Source organism: Homo sapiens, chromosome 2 (genome assembly GCF_000001405.40).
Source record: "Homo sapiens chromosome 2, GRCh38.p14 Primary Assembly".
In the NCBI taxonomy this organism is placed as follows: Eukaryota; Metazoa; Chordata; class Mammalia; order Primates; family Hominidae; genus Homo; species Homo sapiens.
Window position 1 is genome coordinate 30,550,775 of NC_000002.12, and position 27,135 is coordinate 30,577,909.

The 27,135-nt window shown below is 36.5% G+C and overlaps 1 protein-coding gene across 11 annotated transcripts in view; it reads left to right on the forward strand.

Moving 5' to 3' along the window:
* The window catches only part of LCLAT1 (lysocardiolipin acyltransferase 1), a 196,980-nt gene that overhangs the window by 103,529 nt on the left and 66,316 nt on the right, over positions 1-27,135 (forward strand). For 9 of the 11 annotated variants that reach the window (NM_182551.5, XM_005264245.4, NM_001304445.2 and 6 more), the window contains 2 exons: positions 11,372-11,518; positions 17,286-17,402. In NM_182551.5, the coding sequence (NP_872357.2) occupies positions 11,372-11,518; positions 17,286-17,402 (264 nt within the window). Of the gene's footprint in view, positions 1-1,718; positions 1,876-11,371; positions 11,519-17,285; positions 17,403-18,875; positions 19,966-27,135 lie in introns of those variants that run through there. The other 2 variants (NM_001304446.2, XM_017003747.3) reach the window with 2 other exon arrangements.

The window sequence follows — 27,135 nt, forward strand, 5'->3', positions numbered from 1 at the left end:
GAATGAAGCTCTACTTCCTGGAGTGCAGACTATTTATATATATTATTCATACTTCTGTGGAAAATATTTGCCCCTACTCCCCATTTATTTAATTAGTAATTTAATAATATCAATATGGACTCATTGATATTTATTTTAATTTTTAGATTATAATCTGGTACTATCATTATTTTGCTGCTGAAAGTAATGGCCAGCTTTGGCCATTGGGAGTTTTCTTTTCTTGAGACAGGGTCTTGCTCTGTCATCCAGGTTGGTGTGCGGTGGTGCGTTCACAGCTCACTGCATCCTTGACCTCCTGGGCTCAAGCAATCCTTCCGCCTCAGCCTCCTTAATAGCTGGGACTATAGGTACATGCCACCTTGCCTGGCTAATTTAAAATAAATTTTAAAAGACAACAACTTTTTTTTTTGTAGAGAAGTGGTGGGTATCGCTACATTGCCCAGGTTGGTCTTGAACTCCTGGGCTCACGCCAACCTCCTGCCTTGGCTTCCCAAAGTGCTGAGATTATAGGCATGAGCCACTGCGCCTAGCCTGGGAGTGCCTGAAGGTTGGCTCTTATGTCCTTTTGACATACTACCATCTTTTTTCTTTTAACCACTTATTTTTTTGGCACTTTAAATTCTCCAGGTTCATCTTGTATTTTTCCTTGCCCCATCCCTAGACTCAGCATTTCGCTAAGGAGCCCTAGATCCCTTTTTTTTATGAAGAATGATGTGAGAAACTAAAATCTAGGCACTTACTATGCTCTGTATGAGTTTTCCATTGCAGCTTATACTACAAATATAGAGTGGTTTAAAGGACACAAATTTATTATATAACAGTTTTAGAGGTTTGATGTGGGTTCTACTGGGCTGAAATCAAGGCATTGGCAGGACTGGTTTCTTTCTGTAGGATTGCTACGGGATCTGTTTCCTAGCCTTTTCTAGCTTCTAATGGATGCCTACATTCCTTGGCTTGTGGCCCCTTCTTCTGGCTTCAAAGCCAGCATTGGCTGGTTGAGTCCTTCTCACATCAGTACTAAGTCATCTTGTGCCTCCCTCTTCCACTTAAAAAAAATTTATTTTTAATTTTCATAGGTACATAGTAGGTATATATTTATGGGGTTTCTCTCCCACCTTTAATGACACTTATGATTACATTGGGCCCACTAGAATAATCTAGGCTAATCTCACTACCTTAAATTCGTCTGATTAGCAATCTTAATTCCCCTTTGCTGTATAACACAGTGCCTTCACAGTTCCAGGAATTAAGATGTGGACATCTTTTGGGGGATGATTATTCTGCCTACCATATGTTAATTGCTACTGGGATGTCTTTGATTATAGGTCCTCTCAGTGTGCAAAGCTAGGAATGTACTTAGGAATCAGTTTTGCAACAGGAAGAAATATCTCAGATAATAGCTCATTTAGAAAATTGGTCAAATTTCCAATCTCATATAATATGAAAGATGAGTTTGGTCTCTCTCATGTTAACATGAACCCCAAAATTGTAACATGACCAAGAAGCCTCATTGTCAAGCAAGAATTTTTACTGTCTGCATGTGTATATGATTATGTTTGTGGAGTCTAGTGAAATTTGTAGTACAAGTGGTTTCTCCATTTTTCTCCACTTTTTGGTGTGTCAAGTTTGAAATTATATTTAGAATTAAGTTTGTTAGAGTATTATGTAATTATTACTTGCTCATATTTTATACTTTGATTTCTATCTTGTATTTTCAGCACAGTCACATTTGAAACCTAATGATACAGGCATACTACAACAGGATTGTTGCTGCAAAAATGTCATAAAATTACCTGTCATCAGAGTTTTTAAAAGCCTTCGTGGAAATTAATCATCTTAGAAGAGGGATGTGGAGAGCATTACCCAGTTTGTAATGTGAGTTCAGAAAAGATAGATCTTCCTTAACTTTATCTATCCAGCATTTAGCACCCTAATAAAAGTTGAAATTCTGAAAAGTATAACTACTTGTTACTTAACTCCCTGATTTATTTGTATAACTACTATTAATTATGGACAGATCCATACTCAGTAAATACAGTATTTTCTTATGATCTTTGTGATAAAAGTTTATATAAAATTTGCATCTGTTCCTATTGTTCATTCTCATTTAATAGAGGCCTATGGGTAGCATTTCTGTGGTTGCATCCACATCGTTTATTCAGGATTGAAAATAATGTCGAAGGAGCAGTTGTCTGTCTTTCTTCCGCCCTGCTTTTTCTTCTGGTGTCATATTCATAGTGCCATAGTAGATGCCATATTGAGTTACTACAAGGACAGCAGTGATAAATTTTACCCTATTGTTGAGATTGAGTTATTAGAGCATTAGGTGAGTAGTGCTGATGTTTTCATTACTCAGTTAACTATATTCATCTACACTGAAATGAAAAAAAAAAGTTGTGAAAAGGCTTACTTTTTATTAAGAATGCATAATGCCAAAATACACATTCAAGTAAATGGTTATTTTTTTCTCCCCCTAGGCAACGCTAAAACTTGGTAAAAGGGAATGTAAGTCAAAACTAGGTTCTAAAATGATGAGATAGGTTTGGACAATAGAGTATGCCGAGGGATTATTTACAACTGCTTTGAGAAGGCGATGCTGATAACGTAAATGAGGTTTTAGAAAGAAGATGGTGGTAGTGGAGCTATGCCAGTATATATAGATTCTATCTTTATAAACCTGCCAGACTCCCAGCCCTCGTCTGAGAAATTCAGGTTAAAGACAGAATATCCTGCAGTGGAAAAGTATGAAAAAGACAAATTGCCGGGCGCGGTGGCTCACGCCTGTAATCCCAGCACTTTGGGAGGCCGAGGCGGGTGGATCATGAGGTCAGGAGATCGAGACCATCCTGGCTAACAAGGTGAAACCCCGTCTCTACTAAAAATACAAAAAATTAGCCGGGCGCGGTGGTGGGCGCCTGTAGTCCCAGCTACTCGGGAGGCTGAGGCAGGAGAATGGCGTGAACCCGGGAAGCGGAGCTTGCAGTGAGCCGAGATTGCGCCACTGCAGTCCGCAGTCCGGCCTGGGCGACAGAGCGAGACTCCGTCTCAAAAAAAAAAAAGACAAATTATATATGCTGATTTTAAAGATACAGGTTGCGCTATCATTAGCTCATAGAAATATGAAATAAATGTCATAAAAATGTGTTTTTTGAGGATCTTAACATTAAGAAAAATCTGAGTAACACTTTAAACATGGATACAATTTGCATTGATGACAATCAAATGGAAAAAAACCCAAACCCCTTGCCAGGTATTCCTGTGATTTTTTTATCGGGAAAAAAAGAGAAAAACATTTAAGCTAAAAGAAGTAAAAAAGATTTAGAAACATTGGCTTGGAGTTTCTAGAAGATATGTAACAAAATATTAGAAAAGTTTTATAGCAAAACCTCATGGATATTGCTACCACTTCCATCCCACATGGGGAGCAAGAGGTATTCTCACTTGCAATGCAGAAATACATTCGACCTGTCAGTATTGTTCAGTCTAGAACATCCTTTACAAATATGAGACTCTGCAGGATTAGTAAACATTTAAGGAAAATGTTAAACAGTATCTAGTACTAAAAAATGGAAAATCTAATCTCTGACAAATAAATAATTCTCTAAGGAGAATATAAACTATGTGTAATTAATACCTGTGGAAAGATTCAAGTATCTATGCAGAGAGGTTGTTTAGTACCGTGATTTAAAAATATCAAGTCTGGTGTCAGACTGCCTGTGTTTAAAATCTGGTTTTACCACTTACCATGTCTTTAGCCCTCATGTCTCTCAGTTTCCTCATCCATAAAATAGGGATAATAATTTTACTTAATTCATAAGGTTGTCTTGAGAATTAATTGAATTAATGAAAAATGCTTGGAACAATATTGGACATATAGTAAGCACACAGTAAACCTTTTTATTATAATTACACAATTTGTTCCTAAAAATGGCTGCTATGAAAAAGACCATTTGCAAATCTTGAAGATTAAGAATATGATTTTTGAAATAAACTAAATTAGTAGAACAGGTGTAGCTGACAAATTAGTTAGATGATCAAGCCAAGGGATTATCCTTAAAGTTGTCAAATGGCAAAAGAAATGAAAAGTATGAGAGGAGAGATCCAGAAGTTTTAACATCTAACAGAACTTCCAGCTGAAAATATGAATGAAGAGAAAAAAATATATATTTTCTTAAACAGAAGGAATGTTTTCTATATTAAAGAAAGATTCAAATATTGGAAGAGTTTATCAACTGCTGAGCAGAATTAATGAAAAAAGTTCCATACCTAGACTAACACTGATGAATTTCTATAAAACTATGGGTGAAGAGAAAATTATAAAAGCTTCCAGAGGAAAGAAATAAATTATCCGATTAGGAAAACTTAGTTATCTGTACAAATTTGTATAGCTAGATTTCTTACTAGCCATATTCAATGATAGAAAACTATAGAAAATAGCTTTGATATTCTCAGTGGAAAATGATTTGGAACCGCAAAATGCTGTTTTTAGCCAAACTAGCCTCTAAAATTGAGAACAAAACAAATACATTTCAGGAATGCAAAGACTCAAACATTTTTTAAAAGAAATTATTTTGAGGAGAACTAACAGAAAGACATAGGCAACAAGAAGAAATGATGAGCAAAGAAGCCCGCAAACTTATGGTCAAATCTAAATAATAATAAATGTTTCTGTCAAGTTTAAGGATTGTGTTAGTTATAATAATACAGTAATTATTATATAATTGCTGTTGCAGTAAAATAGTATTTTTTGCAACTGTTGGGTGATTTCTACAAATCTTATAAGAAAGGCAAGAGGAAAGCATATCCTTTTTAATACTATTACTATGTTAAGAAATTTAAATGTAAACTAAACTCTTTAATTAGTGATAGAATTGAGGGCATGCTTTTTTGTTTGGGGGTTATTATTTATTAACCCAATGTTGATAGAATTAGATGTTTAAATACATTTGTCAAAAATGGAAGGGTGAAAAAATTTTAAGGGCGAATTCTAAAAGAAGAAAATGGGGTATACAATTTCCAAACTACTACAATAGGGGTCAACAAACTATTTCTTTTTTTCTTTTTCTTTTTTTTTTTTTTTTGAGATAGAGTCTTGCTCTGTCGCCCAGGCTGGAGTGCACTGGCGCGATCTGGGCTCACTGCAAGCTCCGCCTCCTGGTTTCATGCCATTCTCCTGCCTCAGCCTCCGGAATAGCTGGGGCAATAGAGACGGGGTTTCACCATGTTAGCCAGGATGGTCTCAATCTCCTGACCTTGTGATCCGCCCACCTCGGCCTTCCAAAGTGCTGGGATTATAGTCGTGAGCCACCGTGACCGGCAACAAACTATTTCTGTAAGGGACTAGGTAATAAATATTTTAGGCTGTGGTCCATACTATCTCTGTTGTACCTATTTCCTCTGTCATGGTAACAATGAAGCAGCCATGGGCAATATACATAAACAAATGAGTATGGCTGAGTGCCAATAAAACCTTATTTATAAATAAACACTGAAATTTTAATTTCATGTAATTTTTTCATATCATAAAACATTCTTCTTGTGGGCCATATATACAAAGACAGGCAGCAGAGTGGATTTGGTCCATGGGCCATAGCTTGCTCCTTTCCACATTAGAGAACAAAGGGAGGGAACAAAGGAAATTAATTTCAATTAAGACAGAAAATGGGAGAAAAATGGACCAGGGTAGGGGGAGCAAAAAACCACAAGGGAGTATAAGAAACAGGAAACATAAAATGAGCTATCAGGAAAAGAAAAAAAAATCCCAATAAATGTGAACAGCATAAACTTTTATCATAAAGACAAGAAATTCTCAGGGTGTAGCCTAAATGATAACAGGTTATTAGATAATCAGGGTATATCTCTGCTGTAGAGCAGTGCTATTAAAGTATGATTTGTATAACAATACCAGTCAGCAAACTGTTAATATTCCACAATAAGATAAGAACAGAAATAGAGTATTTAGAAAGTCTTTTTTTTTTTTTTTTTTTTGAGACGGAGTTTTGCTCTTGTTGCCCAGGCTGGAGTGCAGTGGCACGATCTCGGCGCACTGCAACCTCCGCCTCCCGGGTTCAAGCGATCTCCTGCCTCAGCCTCCCAAATAGTTGGGATTACAGGCGTGCCCCACCACGCCCGGCTAATTTTGTATTTTTAGTAGAGATGGGGTTTCTCCATATTGTTCAGGCTGGTCTGGAACTCCCAACCTCACGTGATCCGCCTGCGTCGGCCTCCCAAAGTGCTGGGATTACAGGCATGAGCCACCATGCCCGGCCTAGAAACTCTTATAATAATGTGACATTGTTACCACATCCATGTGTGAGATTATTTTTCTACTAACTCATTGTATTTCACAAAACTCAGTTCATACAAGTTTGGAAAATTAAAAAGAGAAAACTGGTTTGAGAATTGCTACAGAGAATACAATGCAGTTATTTATAAAATGAAGTAATTCCCTATGTATAGACATGGTCAATGAAATAAACACATTGTAGGACAGTGTAGAAGGTATGATCGTGTGTGTGTGTGTGTGTGTGTGTGTGTGTGTGTGTGTGTGTGTATGACCAGTCTTAACTGGAACTAACATGTTTTTTAAAAGCACCAATCATGTATGTAACAAATTTTCAAGGAGTGGAAAAATTCACATCAATTTTTTTTTTTTTTGAGGCAAAGTTTCACTTTTGTCGCCCAGCCTGGAGTGCAATGGCACAATCTTGGCTCACTGCAACCTCTGCCTCCCAGGTTCAAGTGATTCTCCTGCCTCAGCCTCCTGAGAAGCTGGGATTACAGGCATGCACCACCATGCCTGGCTAATTTATATATTTTTAGTAGAGACGGGGTTTCATCATGTTGGCCAGGCTGGTCTCGAACTCCTGACCTCAGGTGATCCACCTGCCTCGGCCTCCCAAAGTGCTGGGATTACAGGCGTGAGCCACTGTGCCCTGCCCACATCAAATTTTTAATCATGATTACAAATAAGAGATTATGACTGGTAGAGTAGGATTGAGGGAAGTGGTGATAAAGGAGTATTTTTATGTTTTAGTCTACTTAAATTTGTATTATTTGACTTTTTGTTATAGTACATGTATTTCTTTTATAATGCTTTTAAAATGTTTTATTTAAATTAATAATCTCTTGGCCTTTCAAATAATTGCCACTGGTCAATTGAATATCCATTCAGAAAACAAACAATTTTAACCTCTGCTTCACATAATCCATAAAAATTCACTTGAAATGTATCAATCATGAACTAGTGAAAGCTAAAACAGTAAAGCTAATAGAAGAACACATGGAATAACATCCTAATGAGTTTGGGATAGGCAGAGATTCCTTAAGCGGGACACAGAAAACACAAGTACATGGAGAAGAGTATATATTTATATTCTGTATATGTGTATGTGTGTGTGTCTGTGTTTATACCTGATGGACTTTATATCCTAAAAACTAAGAAAAAGACAAATCAATTAAAAAAATACACAAAAGGTTTGAAGAGGTACTTTACAATGAAGAAATCTGAACGACTAATTTGAATATGAAAAGGTGCTCATTTGGCCAGGCGTGGTGGCTCATGCCTGTAATCCCAGCACTTTGGGAGGCCTAAGCAGGTGGATCACCTGAGGTCAGGAGTTTGAGACCAGCCTGGCCAACATGGCAAAACCCCGTCTCTACTAAAAATACAAAAATTAGCCGGGCATGGTGGCATGTGCCTGTAGTCCCAACTACTCGAGGCTGAGGCTGGAGAATTGCTTGAACCCAGGAGACGGAGGTTGCAGTGAGCCGAGATCACACCACTGCACTCCAGCTTGGGTGACAGAGCAAGACTTTGTCTCAAAAAAAAAAAAAAAAAAAAAGGTGTCCAGCATTATTGTATAGGAAATGTGAATCACAACTACTACACATGAATTCTAATGGCTAAAATGAAAAGAACTCCTAAGATTAAGTGTCGGGGAAAATATAGATAGAGCAATCTGAACGATCATACATTTTCAGTGGGAGTGGCAATTGGTATAATCACTTTGAAGAACTGGTGCTATCTACTGAAGCTGAACAGACATAAACCCTATGAGGCATCAGTTTCACTGCTGGTTATCTACTTAGCAGAAATGGGTGCTCAGGTTTAACGAAAGACAGGTACAAGATTATCTATATTAACTTTATTCCTAATATACAAGGAATCTTCATAAGAAGTATAAATAAACTGTATATTGGTCTACAGTGGTATATTTATATAATTGACACCAGCAGTTACATTGATACTGGCATTGCAAAGAAGAAAATACTGCCACACAACATGGATGAATCTCATAGACGAAATATTGAGCATAAGAAGCAAAATACATAAGAATATATACTGTGTGATTCTACTTATATGATTTGTGGTGTTAGAAGTTGGAGTATTGGTTTTCTTTTGGGAGGGGAAGTATTGACTGGAAATAGGACACATGGAAGCATTTGAGTATTTTAGAAATGTTCAATATCTTAGTTGGGTGATAGCCAGGCATATATGTATATGTGACAATTTATTAAGCTCTCTACCTATATATACTTACTGTCCGCACACTTCACTGTAAGTTATACCTCTATAAAAATGTTTAAAAAACACCAACTCAGTCATTACCCACTTATCTGAAATTCTGTCATTATTGTATACCAAATCCTTAACATATTCAAGGACTTTTATCTAAGTCTTGCATTCATTTCCATTCACCTATTTTTGCAGGTGTACTTTTGATTTAATCATTGTTGCTTCATAATACACTTGTTTAATGGTTCATGTCTTTCCTGCTTATTATTCTATTGCAAAGTTATCTTGAATATTCTCACCTTTTTATTATTATAGATAATCTATAGCTTTATTTAATTTTTGGCTTTGTCAGCCAAATTCTCACACACCCTCATGCTATTGAAATTTTCACTGGAGATCATTGGCATCACTGGTTGAGTTCAAAAACATTGTATAATCTCTTCATCTCTTTCTAGTTAAGTAATTGTTTTCATGTGGCTCTTGCAAGTTAATTAGGTTTATTTCTGCACATTTTGGTTTTGCTGTTGTGAATAGGAACTCTTTTGTTACATTTTACAATCCTTGATGTAATATTCTTGATATTATTGTAACTTGTTAATTAATAATAGCTACCCATTGAACACTCTGTGCTAAATAATCTTATTTGTTTCTCTCATCAATCCCCCTCAGGTAGATACTGTTGCATTGTGCTCATTTTATATTTGAGTCTGAAGGGTGAACAGCTGGCTTGTAGTGGTTTCACTCCAGAGCTATACTACTTACACACACTGCTCTGTGGGCCTAAGTGTCCTCAGATGAAGGACAGATGTGTGGGAGCGGGCAGTGTACAGTCATGTCCAATATTGGTGGATGAGACTGATATTATAGTGACTAGTAACTGGATGCTTATCAGCAAGACTTATACACTGAAGTGAATTTTTTTGTATATGCTTATTTATATATGTAAAATACAGTATTCTAGTTTGGACTTACCCAGGCCAAATAAAGTGTGGTGTGTGTGTGTGTGTGTGTGTGTGTGTGTGTGTGTGTGTGTATTATTTATTTATTTTGACACGGAGTCTTGCTCCATTGCCCAACTATGTTGTTGTGTGGCTGAAGTGCAGTGGTACGATCTCAGCTCACTGCACCCTCTGCCTCCCAGGTTCAAGCAGTTCTCCCCGCTCAGCCTCCCAAGTAGCTGGGATTACAGGCAGCTGCCATCATGCCTGGCTAATTTTTGTATTTTTGTAGAGATGGGGTTTCACCATGTTGGCCAGGCTGGTCTTGAACTGCTGACCTCAGGTGATCCATAGCCTCGGCCTCCCAAATTGCTGGGATTACAGGCATGAGCCACCATGCCTGGCTATGTGTGTATTTAATCACTGGTAAATAATTTAATGATTATGTATATGTATTATCAGGGTTCTGTTGTATTTATCAAATGATGATAGCTGTTGTCTTAGTTACGTTCTTTGTTTGCAAGGAACTGCCAGCTGAAATAATAAGAGTTTATTATTCCTCTATTCCTGCATGGCAGGAAGAGAGGTGGATTCTCATGGATATCCAAGAGGTGGATCCGTAGACTGGCTAGGACTTGTGGAGATTAAAACTGTCTTTTGTTATGAATCATAGTCAGCTTTGGGGGGCTTTTGCCCTTCACTCTCATATGCTTTTATTTATTCTTTTTGAGATGGAGTTTCACTCTTGTTGCCCAGGCTGGAGTGCAATGGTGCAACCTCAGCTTACTGCAACCTCTGCCCCCCGGGTTCAAGCGATTCTCCTGCCTCAGCCTCCTGAGTAGCTGGAATTACAGGCACCTGCCACCACGCCTGGCTAATTTTTTGTATTTTTAGTAGAGATAGGGTTTCACCATGTTGGCCAGGCTGGTCTCGAACTCCTGACCTCAGGTGATTCACCCGCCTCAGCCTCCCAAAGTGCTGGGATTACAGGCATGAGCCACCACACGCGGCCTCTTGTATGCTATTTTTATCCTGCCTCAGCCCCTCTGCTCTTTGGTCTGTCCATTTGACTGTATCCTACCAACTTGTCTGGTTTCTCTGTGGTCCTAGGTGAAATTTCTGAGGGGGAACATTTGGTTGGCCTAGGTATTTCCTGTGTTTGTCCATGCTCTTCATGCTTTGTGGGCTATTGGACAGACTATTGGATTGATTGCCTCAGTTAGGTATCTACTGTAGTAGTCTGGTCATTGTGGCTGGGGAGATGGCTGGTCATCTAAAACATGGCACATCTAGGGCTCTCTCTTCAAAGAGCAAGGGTGATTTGCCCTAGAGAAAAGGAATGTAGTCATAGTGTACACTCTGATTAATGTGTTTAGTACCATTGCACAATTTCCCTTTTCTTTTCAATGACATAGAAAGTGGCTAACATTGAAAATAGCAGTTGGATTTAGAGACTTGAGTGGTATCAGAAGGGAAATATTAAAGAGAATGCTTATATACTTGACGACAGTCTTTTGCTTACTGCTCTGTAAGCTGTCAGAACACATTCTTTTATCTCCTGTAGATATCTTGGTTAAAATATCTGTTTAGTTAGGATTGTTAAAATTTTGGATAAGTTAGTGATAAATACTAAGGAAAAATTCTTTCCTTAATATTTTAATAGCTAGTTTTCGCTTGAAAAGATAATTTTGAGAATTTTGCAAACCTCAGGATTACCAAATCTCTTTTAGGATATTCTCTTATATATATGTTAGTTATTTAACCCAAGATCAGTGCTGAATTTATGCTATATCATGAAATGTTTACAATAATAAATAATATATAGTAAAACCAGAAAACTGAAATATTGTATTCAATAATATGTGGATATTGGCAATAAAATTATAGGTAAATTTTATTGTTAAATTGATTCTAGGTTGGGCCATGCAGGCTGCTGCCTATATCTTCATTCATAGGAAATGGAAGGATGACAAGAGCCATTTCGAAGACATGATTGATTACTTTTGTGATATTCACGAACCACTTCAACTCCTCATATTCCCAGAAGGGACTGATCTCACAGGTAATGTAGCCTGGGTTTGGCAAAGTTAGAAATCATGTAGTCTAAACTTCTCATTTCTCAGATGAAGTAACTGAACACCAACAAGAATAATGGCTCTTCCAGGTGTGGTGGTCCATCCCTGGAATCCTAGCTACTCAGGAGGCTGAGACTGGAAGATGGATTGAGTCCAGAAGTTTGAGACCAGCCTGAGCTACATAGCGAGACTTCATCTCAAAAAAACAAAACAAAACAAAACAGAAAAATTAATGGCTCATCCCTAAGGTCACTCAGTTAATCAATAGCATGTCAGGACTCAGAACTCTTGGTTTCTAGCCCATTGAATTTATAGTAGGCAACTCCAAGCGGTCATATTATTCATACTTGCCATCTTTGAACTTTATATTTTAAGCCTCAGAATATATTTTAAAATATCAGGCTTTTATCTTTATGTAAGTGTAATTTTAAAATCATGTTTTAGGTTAATGTTTATCCTCCCCTACCTGTTGTTTATATTCTCTTATCCTCTTCTAAGGTATTTATTTATCCATTAGACCCTTCCTACTCCTCAGCGTCTTCCTCATAAGAAAAAGATCTGATAGTAACTAATTTCAGTTATTGTTGATTTACGTTAATAGGTTACCTTTCTCCTGATATTTAAGCCCTATCCTTGCTACAAGCAGGAATAGCTTTGCCCTTCTTCAAGAAAACTCAGCCATCATTGAGTTGTAGCAAGGACACAGGAAGACATGTTTATAACTTTTCGGCCTTCCTAAATATTAAACTTTTTTTTTTTTTCTTTTTTGAGCCTGTCATCTAGGCTGGAGTGCAGTGGCATGATCATGGTTCACTACAGCCTTGAACTCCTGGGCTCAAGCTTATAGTGTCTGGGACTGCACCCGATACTACCACCACACCTGGCTACCAGATTTTAAACCATATAGGCCAGGAATTGCCAATGGATTTCAAGAAAGTCTTAAAAAGACTGAAAACAAAATACTCAACAGTCTGTCATCCTTACTAAATCAGTAGTTTTCACACTTTTTAAACCATGGATTATTTTTGCAGATGAAGCCTTCTATCAAGGATGTTAGATAATAAGATGGATAAAAGCAGAACTGCTCTGGTTGATACTGGGAGGGGTGATGGTGGGGGCATAGCTTAGACAGAAAGTATTTCTGTAGAATCTTTGGACTCAAAAGACTAAAATGTACCTTTGATAGTCCCGATAACTTCAAGAGAAATACAGCAGAATTTGAGAAGGATTCAGTGGATCTTACAGCTCTGCTGTGTAAGGGAAGACAGGCTGAAGCAGGAGAGAACTGAAGTCTAAAATCTGTAGTAGTATGGGCAGGTAGAACATGAACTTAACTTTCAAATTTTTGGTAATAGACTAAGAAGGGCAACCCTTGGAATTTAAGAGAGGAGAACAGGTAAATAAACATACTATTCATACTGTGCACATAATAATTTATGGAACTCATTATTACAAAAGAGAGTTCAAGATGAAAAATAGACATTACATACATATTTAAGCAAGTGAATAGGTGACTGAGCCATAATAGGTTGTTAAGGGAAATTAAGGTATTTTAGGATTTACTATAGGTAGCAATGAAGGGATCTTTGACACATCTATTGCAGATGGAACTGAGCTAAATGAACGGTGGCACTTTTTTTATACTAGTCAGATCTCTAAAATGTATGCCAACTGTGTAGTATATTTTTGATTTTTTACAGTTGAGATTCTAGAAGTGGTTGGATCACAGAGGATAATACTGAGGATAATAATGGCTGCTTGTTGAAGCTTGAAAATATATTATTGTAAGTTGTAAGTTGATTTCCAGAACTAAATTATCATTAGGAAATTATAAGTGACAGGTGGCCATATTTAAATTTTATAATATTTAGAATGTATAATACCTAAATTTTGATATTGAAATATCAGCTTTATTTAATAAATATAGAGTATAGAAAGCCATTCACTGAAATGATAGGTTTATATTTGTGAATGCGAAAATGTACACCAAAGAATGCCAACTTTGAAAGTTATTTGGTAAATAAAAACTAATGAAAGAAAGGTCATATGTTACTGCTACATTAGTGTTAATATGTTCATACATTAGACCTTCAGAGTCATAAAATGTATATGTAAAACTTTTTTCATTCTGTATTTGTTCTCAGGTTTCTTTTTGTAGGTGATGAACTCTCCATCTAGTTGCATAATTTTGGAGTCCATAGTGCTCACCATTACATGATGTAGTTGCATATATATTTTAAATGCAAATGATGTTTACCTTTGAAGCTAGACTTTGCCAAGGAGAAAAAACAGACTGATCCTGAAGTTTTAAACATTTTTTTAACAGTAGAATACAGATAATTTTATTGAGTTGGTAAAAAATCATTTTAAAAAATAGGCTAACAAAATATCTCCAGTTTGGAAAAAGTATCTGTTAATTAAAAGGTGTTTAGTTACTACCATACTTAACCTTAAACTGGGTTTTTCAGCCCAGTGAGACTGTTTTATAATTTAAGTCCTGAATCTAGCTTGCATGTACATTTAAATTAGTGCATTTAAATCTAACTTTACATATATTCTATCTTCATATTTTATTGTTGGTTATAACTTTTTAATGGAAGCAATATATGTTAATTTGGGAAAATTTGGAAACATAGAAGTATGCACAAAACTTGCTATAATCCCACTGCCCATAAGTGAACACTATTTTAATTTTGGTCCATTTCTTTTGAGTCATTTTGGTCACACACAGACATATGTGCACCCATACATATGTCTTCGTTATTCTTGGGTTAGGGAGTTCTATATTGTATTGGCATATTAGTTAGGGTTCTCTAGAGAAAGAGAACCAGTAGGATGTGTATATATAGAAAGAGGTTGAGATTTATTTTAAGGAATTGGCTCTTACAGTTGTGGAGGTTTGGTAAGTCCACGATCTGTAGGGTAGGGTGGCAGAGTGGAGATCCCGGGAAGTAGTCGAAGTTCAAGGCCAAAGGCAGTCTAGAGGCAGAATTCTTTCTTCCTTGTTGGGGAGAGGAGGGCACTTCTGTCTTTTTCTGTTAAGGTCTTCATTCACCTGATTTGATGGGGCCTACTCCCATTGTGGAGGGTCATCTGCTGTACTCAGTCTACTAATTTAAATATTAGTCTCTTCTAAAAAATACCTTCCCAGAAACATCTAGAATAATATTTGATGAGATACCTGAGTATCGTGGCCTATTAAAGTTGACATATAAAATTAGCCATCACAATTAGTATGTGATAATTTTGAGTTCCATTTCCCTGATTTGGAAAGATTCTAACAATTATGTTATTGCATATAACATAACACCTATATACATAAAACTTATTCTTTTTAATACATATATGAGTGCCTGGATCTTTATCCCTACTCTCACGAAGTTTACGTTCTGTGAGGAAAGACAGATGATAAACTAATAAGTTAATAAAAATATGTCAGTCATAAGTGCTATGCAGAAAAATAAGGCAGGATAAGGAGAGAGAGAGAGTCATAGAAGGGGTGTAGGGTGCTGTTTTGTTTAAGGTGGTTAGGGAAAGCCTCTCTGTTAAGTTTCTGTTTAAGTAGGGACTAAATGAACAAAGCAGAAAAGCGTGCAGCTGTATGGGTGAAAGGCATTCTGGGTGAAGGGAGGAGCAGCAACTGCACCGATCCTGAGGTGGGAACATGCCCAGCTGGTTTGAGAATAGCTGCTAGTAGTCCCATGGGCGGAAGGAGTGTAGGAGTGGGAGAATTACAGGGAGTAACGTGACAAGACAGGAGGCTGTGGTCAGAAAGTGGGATGCTAGTGCAATAACAGAGTCTGGGGATGAGTAGATGAAGTAGGGGGTAGATGGAAAAGTCTACATCTCTAATCTCTCTGTATTTCTGATCATTTTTACCGTCCCACATTGTGACTGTTTGTTTTAGAGCTGTTTATACTTGTACTCACATTCTACAACAGTTCAGTTTTGCTTTCAGAATCCCCAGAGTTTTATAAACTGAAAGACCAAACTAAAGGGTAGTTACTACTCATCTTTGTGGTGTCTATGGGATTCCTAATCCCATTTAAGGTCCTGTCAGCTGTCTATAATATAAATATTGTTTTGTAGCCCCATGCCCAGGATATCCTCAAATGAATATGAGAGGAACTTACTACTCTTCATGTGTAGGGCCTTTACTTTTGACTTGCCCGGCTCAATTCCTTTATCATAAAATGATGTAACACCTTCTATAGGAGTGTTCTTTGAATATTTCAGTGTTGTGGAAGTCGTCTATGGTTTTTGGAGACTTTGAGGACTCCGTGATCTTAAATTTACTCCTAGTAAAGTTGTGTCGATATAGATATTTTTCTTGTGACTTGGAATAATAGTTTATCAATTTCGGAATGCAGCTGAGGATTGCGGGTTCTAACATCTGCTGTCATCAGAAAGTATTTCATGATCTCTCCCAGCAGTTGAGGCCAAATTTCTGAACACTTTACTTTTTCCAAATGTATTTGCTGAATAATGGGTTTGGTTCTTCTTGGAACTTGTAAAGTTACCTCATGGAATGGAAAAAGAAGGTTTTGCCAACAACTGGAACATGTACTTGACTCCGTAACTATATTCAGCCAAACCATGTTCAGATATTTGTACATGATGTGCTAATCATGTGCCCATTTTGTTATGGAGCGGTTTGGGTTAGTAATATTAACATACTCTGTGCCTGAGCAAGGCAGATATTTCAGTTCACATTGAAGGCCTAAATTATTGGATTTTAAAGAATGTTGATCTGATATATTTGATTGCTAGTTATTTCTTCTGGATGTCTAGGTCATTGTATTTTGTTAGTGTCTTAGTTTTATTTTATTAGCATTTTATATTTTAATATTTCAATTTTGTTATATAGGGATTGTTTTATAAAAAAATTTAGTTATTAGCATTTTAATTTTCATTGAATGTTGACTTTCATGAAATCTTTTAAACAAATTAAAAGATATGAATATGAATTTCAGAAAATGTATAAAAATCGATTTATGCCTTTGTTATAATTTTTTTTAATTTCAGTAAGTATAACCGAGCATCTCAGCTTTGAAATGCATTTTAACACTTTTTTTCTTTAGTCTTAGAATATAGCCTCGAAGTGTACTTTGAAACTCTGTTTTCCTTCTGTTTCCACTAGACACTTCCTTGCACCATGTATGCTTATCTACTATATGCTTGCTTAGAAATTCCAGGGGCTAATTTTGAAACAAACCAGGCATGGAGGCCCTGTGGAACCCTCCCACTTGGGGGAGTCATGAACAGTTAGTCCACTACCATCAGGCTAAAGTCAAAGTAATGCCAAGTGGACCTCCGGATGGGCAGTTACCCGAGACAGCCATCAGAACAAGACACACAGACCCTGTGCCATTCAAACATCTCCTACAGCAAGTTTCCTTTTAAAAACACTATGATAAATTTTAAAACTTAAGATGGGACTTTAGAACACTAGTTCACTATCTTCTCAGTTTGCTGGCTCTCTGTTTAAAACCTGCTTTCCCTCCCACCAAACTTGGCCTCTTGTGTTTGGCTTTCGAGCAGCAAATAGCCAAACCTGGGTCTGGTTACATAAGTAGGTCTGGGATCTTGATAATGGACCATCTGCAATGTTTGTATCTTCTCATTTGACTCAGTATTCAGTAATTAGAGAATAATTAACAGCTATTTTTTATCAAAAAAAATTCTGCACTTCTTTCCTTACCTTGTTTATTTCCCTTTAGTTTATGATTTATAATGGTCCATTGTTTTGTTTAGAAAACAGCAAGTCTCGAAGTAATGCATTTGCTGAAAAAAATGGACTTCAGAAATATGAATATGTTTTACATCCAAGAACTACAGGCTTTACTTTTGTGGTAGACCGTCTAAGAGAAGGTAAGCACCCATTTCAAAATGTACTTTTTAATAAAAGTGGCAAAAATTGCTAAGCTTTATATATAGCCCTTTAGAGTTTGTAAAGGATTTTTTACTACTTTGTCTCAAGAAATGAGATATTGTATTTTTATTCCAAGTTGGCCTATGTACTAAAATGTTTTGCCATGTATTTGTTAGAGATATAGAAGAGATCTCTGTAAAAAATTCTTTCCCCTTTTTTGGAACAGACATAACTCTATATTACATATATATATATGTTTGTATATAGAGAGTTAGGCTATAATTCCATTTTAGGATATTTCTCCAAGTGGCAAAAATGTCTTTCTTTCTTTTTTTTTTTTTTTTTTTTGAGATGGAGTCTTGCTCTGTTGCCCAGGTTGGAGTGCAGTGGTGCTATCTCGGCTCACTGCAAGCTCTGCCTCCCAGGTTCCCGCCATTCCCCTGCCTCAGCCTCCCAAGTAGCTGGGACTACAGGTGCCCACCACCACGCCCAGCTAATTTTTTGTATTTTCAGTAGAGAGGGGGTTTCAACATGTTAGCCGGGATGGTCTCGATTTCCTGACCTCGTGATCCAGCAGCCTCAGCCTCCCAAACTGCTGGAATTACAGGCGTGAGCCACGGCGCCCGGCCAAAAATGTCTTAAGAGTATCTTGTCACTTAATCCATTTCTCTAGTAATCATGAATAGCAAAAAAAAAAAAAAAAAAAAGAGAAAAAAAATCTTATCACTTAAACTAACCATATGTTTGGCTCTTAGGGTTTGAGAATATATCATTCTCTTACTATTTTAAGCTATAGAGAAATATAACGATCTGAAAAATAATTTTACTTTAATTATTTCACTCAGTCCACCAAGTAACTGGTTGGTAGGAAGGCAAGTGCCACTACCTCTACTATTTTATAGTTAAATAGAACTGGCATCCAGTGCGGTAAGTACATTTTCACAGGTTACTTGAGTCAGGGATAGAACCTTCTTCTGCTTCCTAATTTGTGGCTCATATCACACTTCTTTCAAACTGTGTCTATTCAGGGGCATATATGAGCAGAAAGTGATTCCGTTGATGATATCGCACCCATTTAAATGCTTAGGTTTTGATGTAAATAAAAACCAATTGTACTTTTTAATTATAGTTCTGCATATTTGCAAGTTTATATATTTATACACATTTGTACATACAAATAACACATATATGAAGAAAAGGTAACTATTCGGAAACATACTGAAGTGTTAATTTTATAACAGTTCAAAGCCCACAGTCAACTAACAGAAGTGTGTTTGCACATTTCTGCTCTTCACTCTGATTTCCAGTAAGCCATATTGTGTAATGGTGATCTCTGTGACAAATGTCACCTTCATCTGGTAACTGATATATTTTCATAAAACTGTTGTGCATAACATGAAAAGTCTTGAACCATTATGTAAGAAAAGGTATGAAGTTCTTTCCCTAAATGGCATCACTGTTGTTCTCTTTAGGATTTAATATACTTTAAGATAAAAAGTATAACCTGCCAAGATGAAGCATATTTATAACCAAGTACCCATGATTTAAAGAAAGGTTCACAATCAATTCAAAATCACATGGTATGGTAAACCAAAAATGTTATTCATATTACTTTGGTTTGCTTTTGCAATTCCGTGATTACAACTAATATAACATGGACTTGTGGACTTGATATTCATGTTGTATGTGATTAGTGAGTGCCCATCTACCCGTGGAAGTTCATGGAGAATACAGTTCTTCATGCCTGTGGAATGGGGTGGAGAGGCACGAAGACATTCAAGCAGTGATGCTTTTTTTTTTAATTTGATACCATTTACTATGGCATGTAACTTAGACTCACCCTTCTCATTCAACAATGTTTTTCTATTTTACAGTATTTAATGATTCCTTTAAAGGTATTTCTGACATCATAGAACAATCTATAGAGCTCTCTTTTGAAATCTGGAAAATATTTTAGTAGCAAACTGATTTATAACTTTGGTTAATGTATATTAGTCATCACTCCAGGCACTAGTCAACAACCACAGTATGTAATTTTTCCTGCCAGTTGTGACAGCTGGTCTCCCCAACATCCCTCCTGTATCAGTAAAAAGAAACATAGATGATTCCATTTATTTCAGTTAGAAAACAACAGTTAGATGATTTTATTTGTTAGAAACATAAAATGGGACTTGTATACTATAATAATAAAAATAAAAAATATGATGAGGATAACTATAATAGTATAGCAGCTAACGTTAACTGAGCATTTACTATGTACCTGGCATTATGCTGTGTGTTTTATGCCTATGATCAATTCATCTTCACAACAACTGTACATGGTAGTTATAAATATTTATCTCATTGTGCAAAACTGAAGCAGAAATTGAGGTAAAGAACCTCATCAAAATTATTGGAATACAGTTTGTCTAACTGAATAGCTCTTGTTCTTTCTACTGTAACTAGTTGCTGCTTGTATTTATAGTATGATTTTAGTTAACAAAATCTCCAGATCATTAAGCACCTTTCTAACACTAGTGAGCTGGAATATTTTCTTTAAGAAAGAGTTAAATAGGAAAAGAATTTAAAAAGAGGCTAAATGGCCAGAACACGGAGAGATGGTAGTCACCAGGCAGGTGGTTGTGATGCTGCCTGAGATAACGGGGGAGCAGAGCAGGAAGAGGCTAAGGAGGCATCAGTTGGGGAGTTGAGGGCAACTCTCATTTCTGGGGGTTCAAGTGAATAAAGAGAGAAAAAGTTTCATTAGTGATTGGAGGTGAGGAGGATCTTAGAGGTCATCTAGTCCAGAGTTCCTTTTAGAATGGGAATCTAAGACTCACAAAGGGGCCCAGCCTGGCTTTCTGATTTTTAAGCTCATGTATTATTAAGACTTGAGATCATCATATAGATTTATTTGAGTTTTAGGTTTGAAATACTTGTTTTTGAATTCAAAGAAAGCAGTTTATATTTCAATCCATACTTAGCTCATATGCTTAAATTCTGAATATAAAGGAATGAAGGATGTAATCTTTCCACTATTACTCTAGGGGGATACAGGGTTAACCACAAAATAGAAATTAAATTCCCACTAGGTAATTTGGATCAGCACACCTGAACCAAATTCTTCGGTTTGTATTCAGGGAGAGAGAATTGCTGACTTAACATGCAGGTTACATATATAGTGTCAGTAGTCTTGTTTGTGGGACGCTCATGTTTGTCTACAATAGTTCTCATGTGCTCTGAGAAAGTTGATAGCTACCTAGGAAATAAAAGCAATATACCAATCATAGACAGCTTAGTCTTCAGTAGCATTGTTCGACTATTTTAATTTCTTAGATTTTTGCTTACTGCACAACTAGCTAACAGTCCAGTCTGTCTACTGCCTACAGTGGAGGACTAAAGGTGACCAACAGAAACCCATCTCTGGCTCACATTGCATTTATAATAGTAAGCCTCTCCCAGGGTGGCATTTCAGTTACCCTTTTGAACAGCCAGCATGTTTTAGGAGGCAAGGAAGAAAGACAGACAAATTACTGAAATACTGGGTGCATTATATATCATGCACTCAGACCTTTTCATACAGCCTTTTATTGCTGGAAACTATGAAATTGGATAAGACCTTCCGTTATGTTAAATAAGATGTGGTTGTACAGTAGACTTTTGACATTTGCTAGAATATTTTCTGAGACAATTTCCATTTCCTCAATTTTGGAAATATTTTTGTAGATTAGTAGCTGACTTTCTTTTGAGGCCATTTTACAAGGAACATGATAGAGTGCAACAAAACCTAAATGAGATTTGTACACTGATGAGTGGATAAGCACCTGGATCACCTAAGTGACCTGGTGACCTGCACATCATGAAGCAGAAATTATTCAAATTTGCCTCAGGAGAAGTATGCATGACCGCATGTCAGAGACCTTTGATGTCTCTTCATGTTGAATTTTCAAATGCCATGGTATCGCTTTAGACCATAAAGGGAATTCATATTGTTTCTTTGTTCCTTTTAGTCACTGCCCACCTCGCCCCCTTTCCCTCCAGCGAAAAATCTGAGCTGCTCATTTAGGACAGATCTTCTTGTGTTTAGTGAAAAAAGTCATGATTGCCTTAATGAAAAAGGATAGAAGCCCTATCTATGTACTTAAAAACAACCATCTAACACTTATCAAGTTCTTCTTATGTACCAGGTATTGAGTTGTGCACGTTTCTTTACCTTGCCCATGCAGTAGAATCAACCATAGAGCTTTTTAAAAATACAGATACTGAGGTCCAAGCTCAGACCTATTGAATCAATCTGGTGATGGGGACCTAGACTCATAGCTACTTCTTTCACCATTCATACGTATCCCCTAATTCTCCTACCTAAGCTAGGTGGTAGTTTGCTTTGTGCTGCACCTGTGGAGCCTGGCTCCGTTTAGCAACTTTCACAGGGTCATACTGCTGCTGAGCAGAGGAACTTTAAACTCAAGTCTTTTTGATTCCAGTGCTCATGTTCTTTCCACTGTATAAGAAGCTTACAGTTTTTCAAATGCTAAAAAAAATTATTCTTTGTAGGTTTTTTTTTTCTATTTCCAAGATTTCTCCCTGATATCCTTGGCTCTACTGTGAGTTCTGTTTAAATGAAAAAATATATATAAAGGATTTTCTTTTTGTAAGCCTCTTTTATTTTTCTGATTCCTGCCTTTACCAGTTCCTCCTCCATTTCTCTAATCTTTAAAAAAAAATGACATTCAAACTATCTGTCCTTTCAAATTGTGATTTCATTCTCTGGCAGAGCCTGGGTTGAAAGAGGAAAAAAAATTGTGGTTCGATCGTTTTCTTTCTTTTTGCCATCAAATTGCAGAAGTAGCTTGATGACTTGATTTTTCTCAATACTGGTTCATTTTTTATTAAAAATAGATAATAGGTTTTTAATTGTAAAAACAGAATGTACTTACTGTTAAAAATTGGAAAATTAATAAAGAAGAAACTGTTGTGCAAGCCAGAAACCTGGGAGTCATTGTTGGCCCGCCCCCCTCTGCTTTTCACATGCTGTGAAATCCCAAACAAGGCCTTTTGATTCTACCCCTTAAGGATCTCTCAAATTAATTATTTTCATTCGCAGTGCCATACTGGTCTGGGCCTTCATTGTATGTTCCCTGAATTATCATACAGCTGCTCAGCTGGACTTTCTAGCTCTGGTCTTGACTTAACCAGTCCTTTCTCCACTTTGTAGCCAGAGAGTCAAGCCTTTTTCTAAATGAGGGTGGCATCACACTGAGATAGGTATCCAGGTACTGGAGTAAGGTCTCACAGAATTCCAAGGTTAAATCTACTCTAACATGATTTACCCAGGCCTCCTATGACCTACCTCTCTGGCTGTATCTCCTGTCTCCCTAGTTGTACCATTTGTTCTAGCCTTACTGAACCACACTTCTTTCCCAGATTGCACAGTGTGCTGAGCCTTCCCCACGGTATCCTCTTAAGATGTCACCTTAGATAACAGTTCATCCAGGAAGCCTTCCTGATTTTCTTTGGCTTGGTTGGGTACCTTGCTTTATATTCCCTATATGAATGCTTTTCCTACTAGCTATATGTAAATTTTTCTTACGATAGTATCACTTGTTTAGTTGTTTATCTTCTTCACTGTTTTTTCTCAAGCCTTCAGCACAGGGCCTGGCAAATAATAGATACCCTTCAAATTTTTTGAGCCTATCAACTAATTGGTCAATGTAATTTTATACCGTGTTCCAATAAAGATTTAAAATGGCTAACATAAATTTGTATCATATAATAATAGCAGTGCCCCAGCCTGGTTAAGATGACGAAACCCCATCTCTACTAAAAATACAAAAATTAGCCAAGCATTGTGGCACACACCTCTTAATCCCAGATATTCGGGAGGCTGAGGCACGGGAATCGCTTGAACCTGGGAGGTGGAGGTTGCAGTGAGCTGAGATTGCACCACTATACTCCAGCCTGGGTAACAGAGCCAAGACTCTGTCTCAAAAAAATAATAATAATAATAATAGCAGCACCAAAAGTAAGAGAAGAAATCAAGGTAAGGGAAAATAGGGGTAAATTTTTTAAAAACTAGATGTGAAGTTACATTACAAAACATGTTATAAGTTTCTACATTTCTTTATAATGTGAGTCCAAACATTGTCCCTGAGCTTTCTGTACCTTTTATACAAGGAAACCAAAGTATTATTGACAGTGTTTATAAGATCAAAGCAAGCCAGATGATTAGAAGAAGCATTTTTGAAAGACTTGAAATATCTCCCATGGCTCTTCACAAAGAGCACATTGTACATTTCATGACCAAGATCCTGAACAGCATCCTTATGGGAAATATAATGAACTTTTTAGAACTACTCCACATAGCCTCATCATGGTTGTCCATGTTGGCTAATGGAATAAACACATTCCATTACATGAGAAAGAGCAGTCTCATAAAAGCTCAAAACACTCAGACTCTATATGGATTTAGAGTGTCTCAACTCTAAAGGTACGGGTAGACTGCATGTCCTTCAGACGATTCTCCATAAAAAGTGTCACTCACTGAGGATTGGATGACAATTAGTTCACACTGAGTTTGATTATTCTTTGTAAGGCATCTGTTCTACAGATACTTTGTGTCATGAAGCGCTGCAGAGTCAAGAGCTATAGTAGTAAGTGGATCTAGGAGTCAGACTAAGGGAAATTGAAGAGCTTACTGAGATTTCACACATGAATGGAAGGCCTCCTTCAAAACAGAGGTCTGCCAGCATGTCCTTAGAAAACAATGAGGAGTATGTGTTTTTCGTATCCTCTGCAATGCTTGCACATAGTAAGTGGACCATTGTTGAAAGCTCAGGTCCTAGTCTGTGTGGCTCTTTTGGTCTTGTTTATTGCTGTGACTTCATGCCCTCTCTTCACTCCAGTCATGTGGGACACATGACTGTGTCTTCTCCCAAACTGTTCCCATTCATCTGGCTAGCTCCCATTGGTTCCTCCAGACAGCTTAAGTGTTTTTTCCACTTCAAACAGTTTTCTGACCTCTCCAGGTTATTGGAGTTCCCTCTTCTTATTCTCATCATACTCTATACATTTCTGTTAATAACCAGTAGTTTTTTGGTGGCCTTTTTTTTTTGTCCATCTCTCTCATTGGACTTGAGCTCCTTTAGGATAGAGATACTGTGCCGTATTTGTTTTTATATCTGAGGTCCTAATACCATGCCAGGAATATTATAGGTACTCAATAAATTTATAGTTTGGTACAAATTTTTAAAGATGACCTAATTTTAGCATCTCTCGCATACACACATATGCACATCTGATTAGCAATTCTTCCCACCCCCTTCAGTCTAGTGATCACACTTACAGATTTTAATTTATATGGAGTCCTTTCATTGCAACAGAGATGAGATTTATGGCAGTGCCAGAGGGCCACCTGAGGCAGATGCACAGCAGGTAATAACTATCTTAAGACACTCTCTTCTTTTTTTAACTACCGGAGGATAAAAGAGTACATTTTTTTTCTAGATTATGTATACTACTGGAAGAGAATTACAGAAACACGTTATTGGTAACTTAAATGAATAAGGTCTTGGCATGTGATCATGTAAAATTCAATATGGAAATGTGGTTCTTAATTAAATGTTTCCTTTATTTGTATCTCAGTGAGTTTCAGATTCTAATATGGTGTTAAACAGATAGTTATTGCAACCTCGTGTCTCTCTGTACCACTTGACTTCAATAGGAGAAAAATTTTGCCCTGGGTTTATTATATACTATTTCTCTAACACTAGCCAGCTATAAAAATGCCTACTATTGTGAAAGGTAGGTCCAGGTTATAATTACTGCGTGTCTTATGGCACCATTAATAAAAAATTTTGAAAATATATGTTCTTTATTAGATGATTATCATTTTCATAGATGAGTGAAAATTATATACAGTTGTATTTTACTCATGCATAAGGCATGTCTGTGCCTAAATATTGGTGCCCTGTATAATGTTTAATATATTTTTTAAGAATGACACACTGAAAAATGCTGATAACTGTGACCTTTACAAAATGTGTTTATTTCAAAATTCAGAATTTTGGAAGCAGCTTTTGTGAGTAAAATTTGTGGAATTGCCTTTGAGTGATGACTTTCGGTAGACTTTACACTGACCATAAAGAATATTGTTACATACATTGAAATATTTTTGTCGGTTTCCCATTGGAGGGCAAAAGTGAGAGATAGAAAACAACTTCTGAAGGTGTGAGTAGCTGTGTCAATACTATTTACTCATTGTGTGGCAGATGGGCACTACATGTTTATGTACTTAGAATCTCGTTTGCAGTAAAATAGAGAAGATAAGTTTCAGTGAGTATGCAAAATGTATGTAACAATATACTTTACCTTCCTGTTCATATGAAAATCAAAATTCTCAGCAAAGGTGAGATTTTGACCTGAGTCTAAACCCTGTGGACCTTTGAATCCAGAAATTCATCTTAACAGGAGCTTATGCCTGCCTTTTGGTTTTATATAGTATGCAGTTTCATTGTGAATGTATATGCTTCTTTTTTGGGTTTGTCCAAAAAAGGTTTACCTTGTTTCTTCTTTATTGTTGACATGTGTCCATTTCATTATTTATAAAGTCTGTGCCTTTTCTTTTAGCTTTATAGATTTTTTCTTCCTAATTCAAAATATTCTGTCTGCATTTTTCTAATTATTAGAACCTTTTTTTGCATTTTTTCATAGTTGATATTTGTGTTGAGTATTGCAAAGTAATATTAAAACAGTACTCATTTGCTGGAGTATATGTGTGTACACATGCAAAACCAAATTCATATACCTCACTTGTAAAAAATATGAAACTAAATACAGAAATTGTTTACTTATTAATGTTGAAAATTATTTGCATAGCTCTCTAAATGAAAGTAGTTTTCTCCATTTTATTTTGCATAGATTATATTTTTATATGTTATATAAAATTATATTAATATATCATGTAATAATATTATATATATTTTGTCACATAGGCTCCCTATACATATCTGACTGCTAAAAAGCATGCAAACTCACCTTGTCATAGAATCTGGGCTGAGCAAAACTAGTCCAGGTTCATTTATCGTAAGTTGGCTACTCGGCACTGCATAAAGTGTAAGACGTTGAAAGAATGTCAGTAACTTCTAAATCAGCAGCCTTCCCCTAATGAAGTTATGTAGGAGAGTAAAGCTTAAGTGTTCTCAGTGGCTTTCACTCCCTCCACACAAGAGTATTGCATTCGGCCACATGGGGTAAATTCCAAGGATTATCCTACTTGGTAAGATTACTGATGTTGAGAATCTATCAGAAGTGCATATGTACACAAAATGCATATTTTTAAGTGTTTTATTTTGTGGTAATTAATAACTTAATCCACATAATTTCATTGTGGTTCACTCATCTCTTTTTCATAGGAAATGGTACTTAAAAGGGAAATTAAAATGAAACTGCTGATTTACATTTGTTTCTCAATTTTTGTTTTATGAAGTACCTTTTCCAGTGATAGTCTGATTTGATTATAATACACTAACAGACAGTAATCTACAATGTGTTGCATCTTTTCATTTTAATATTTTTCCTTGGGGAAAAAATCACTGTCTTTACTCTCTTGACAGCTAGCTTCATATTTGTGCTATTCTTCTTCTTCTTCTTCTTCTTTGTCTTTGACCATGGCCATTATCTCTGTTGTTCATGCTACCTGCCTGATTTTGATGGCCGAAATATTTTTCACTAAGAAATATCTGAGTATTGTTAAGT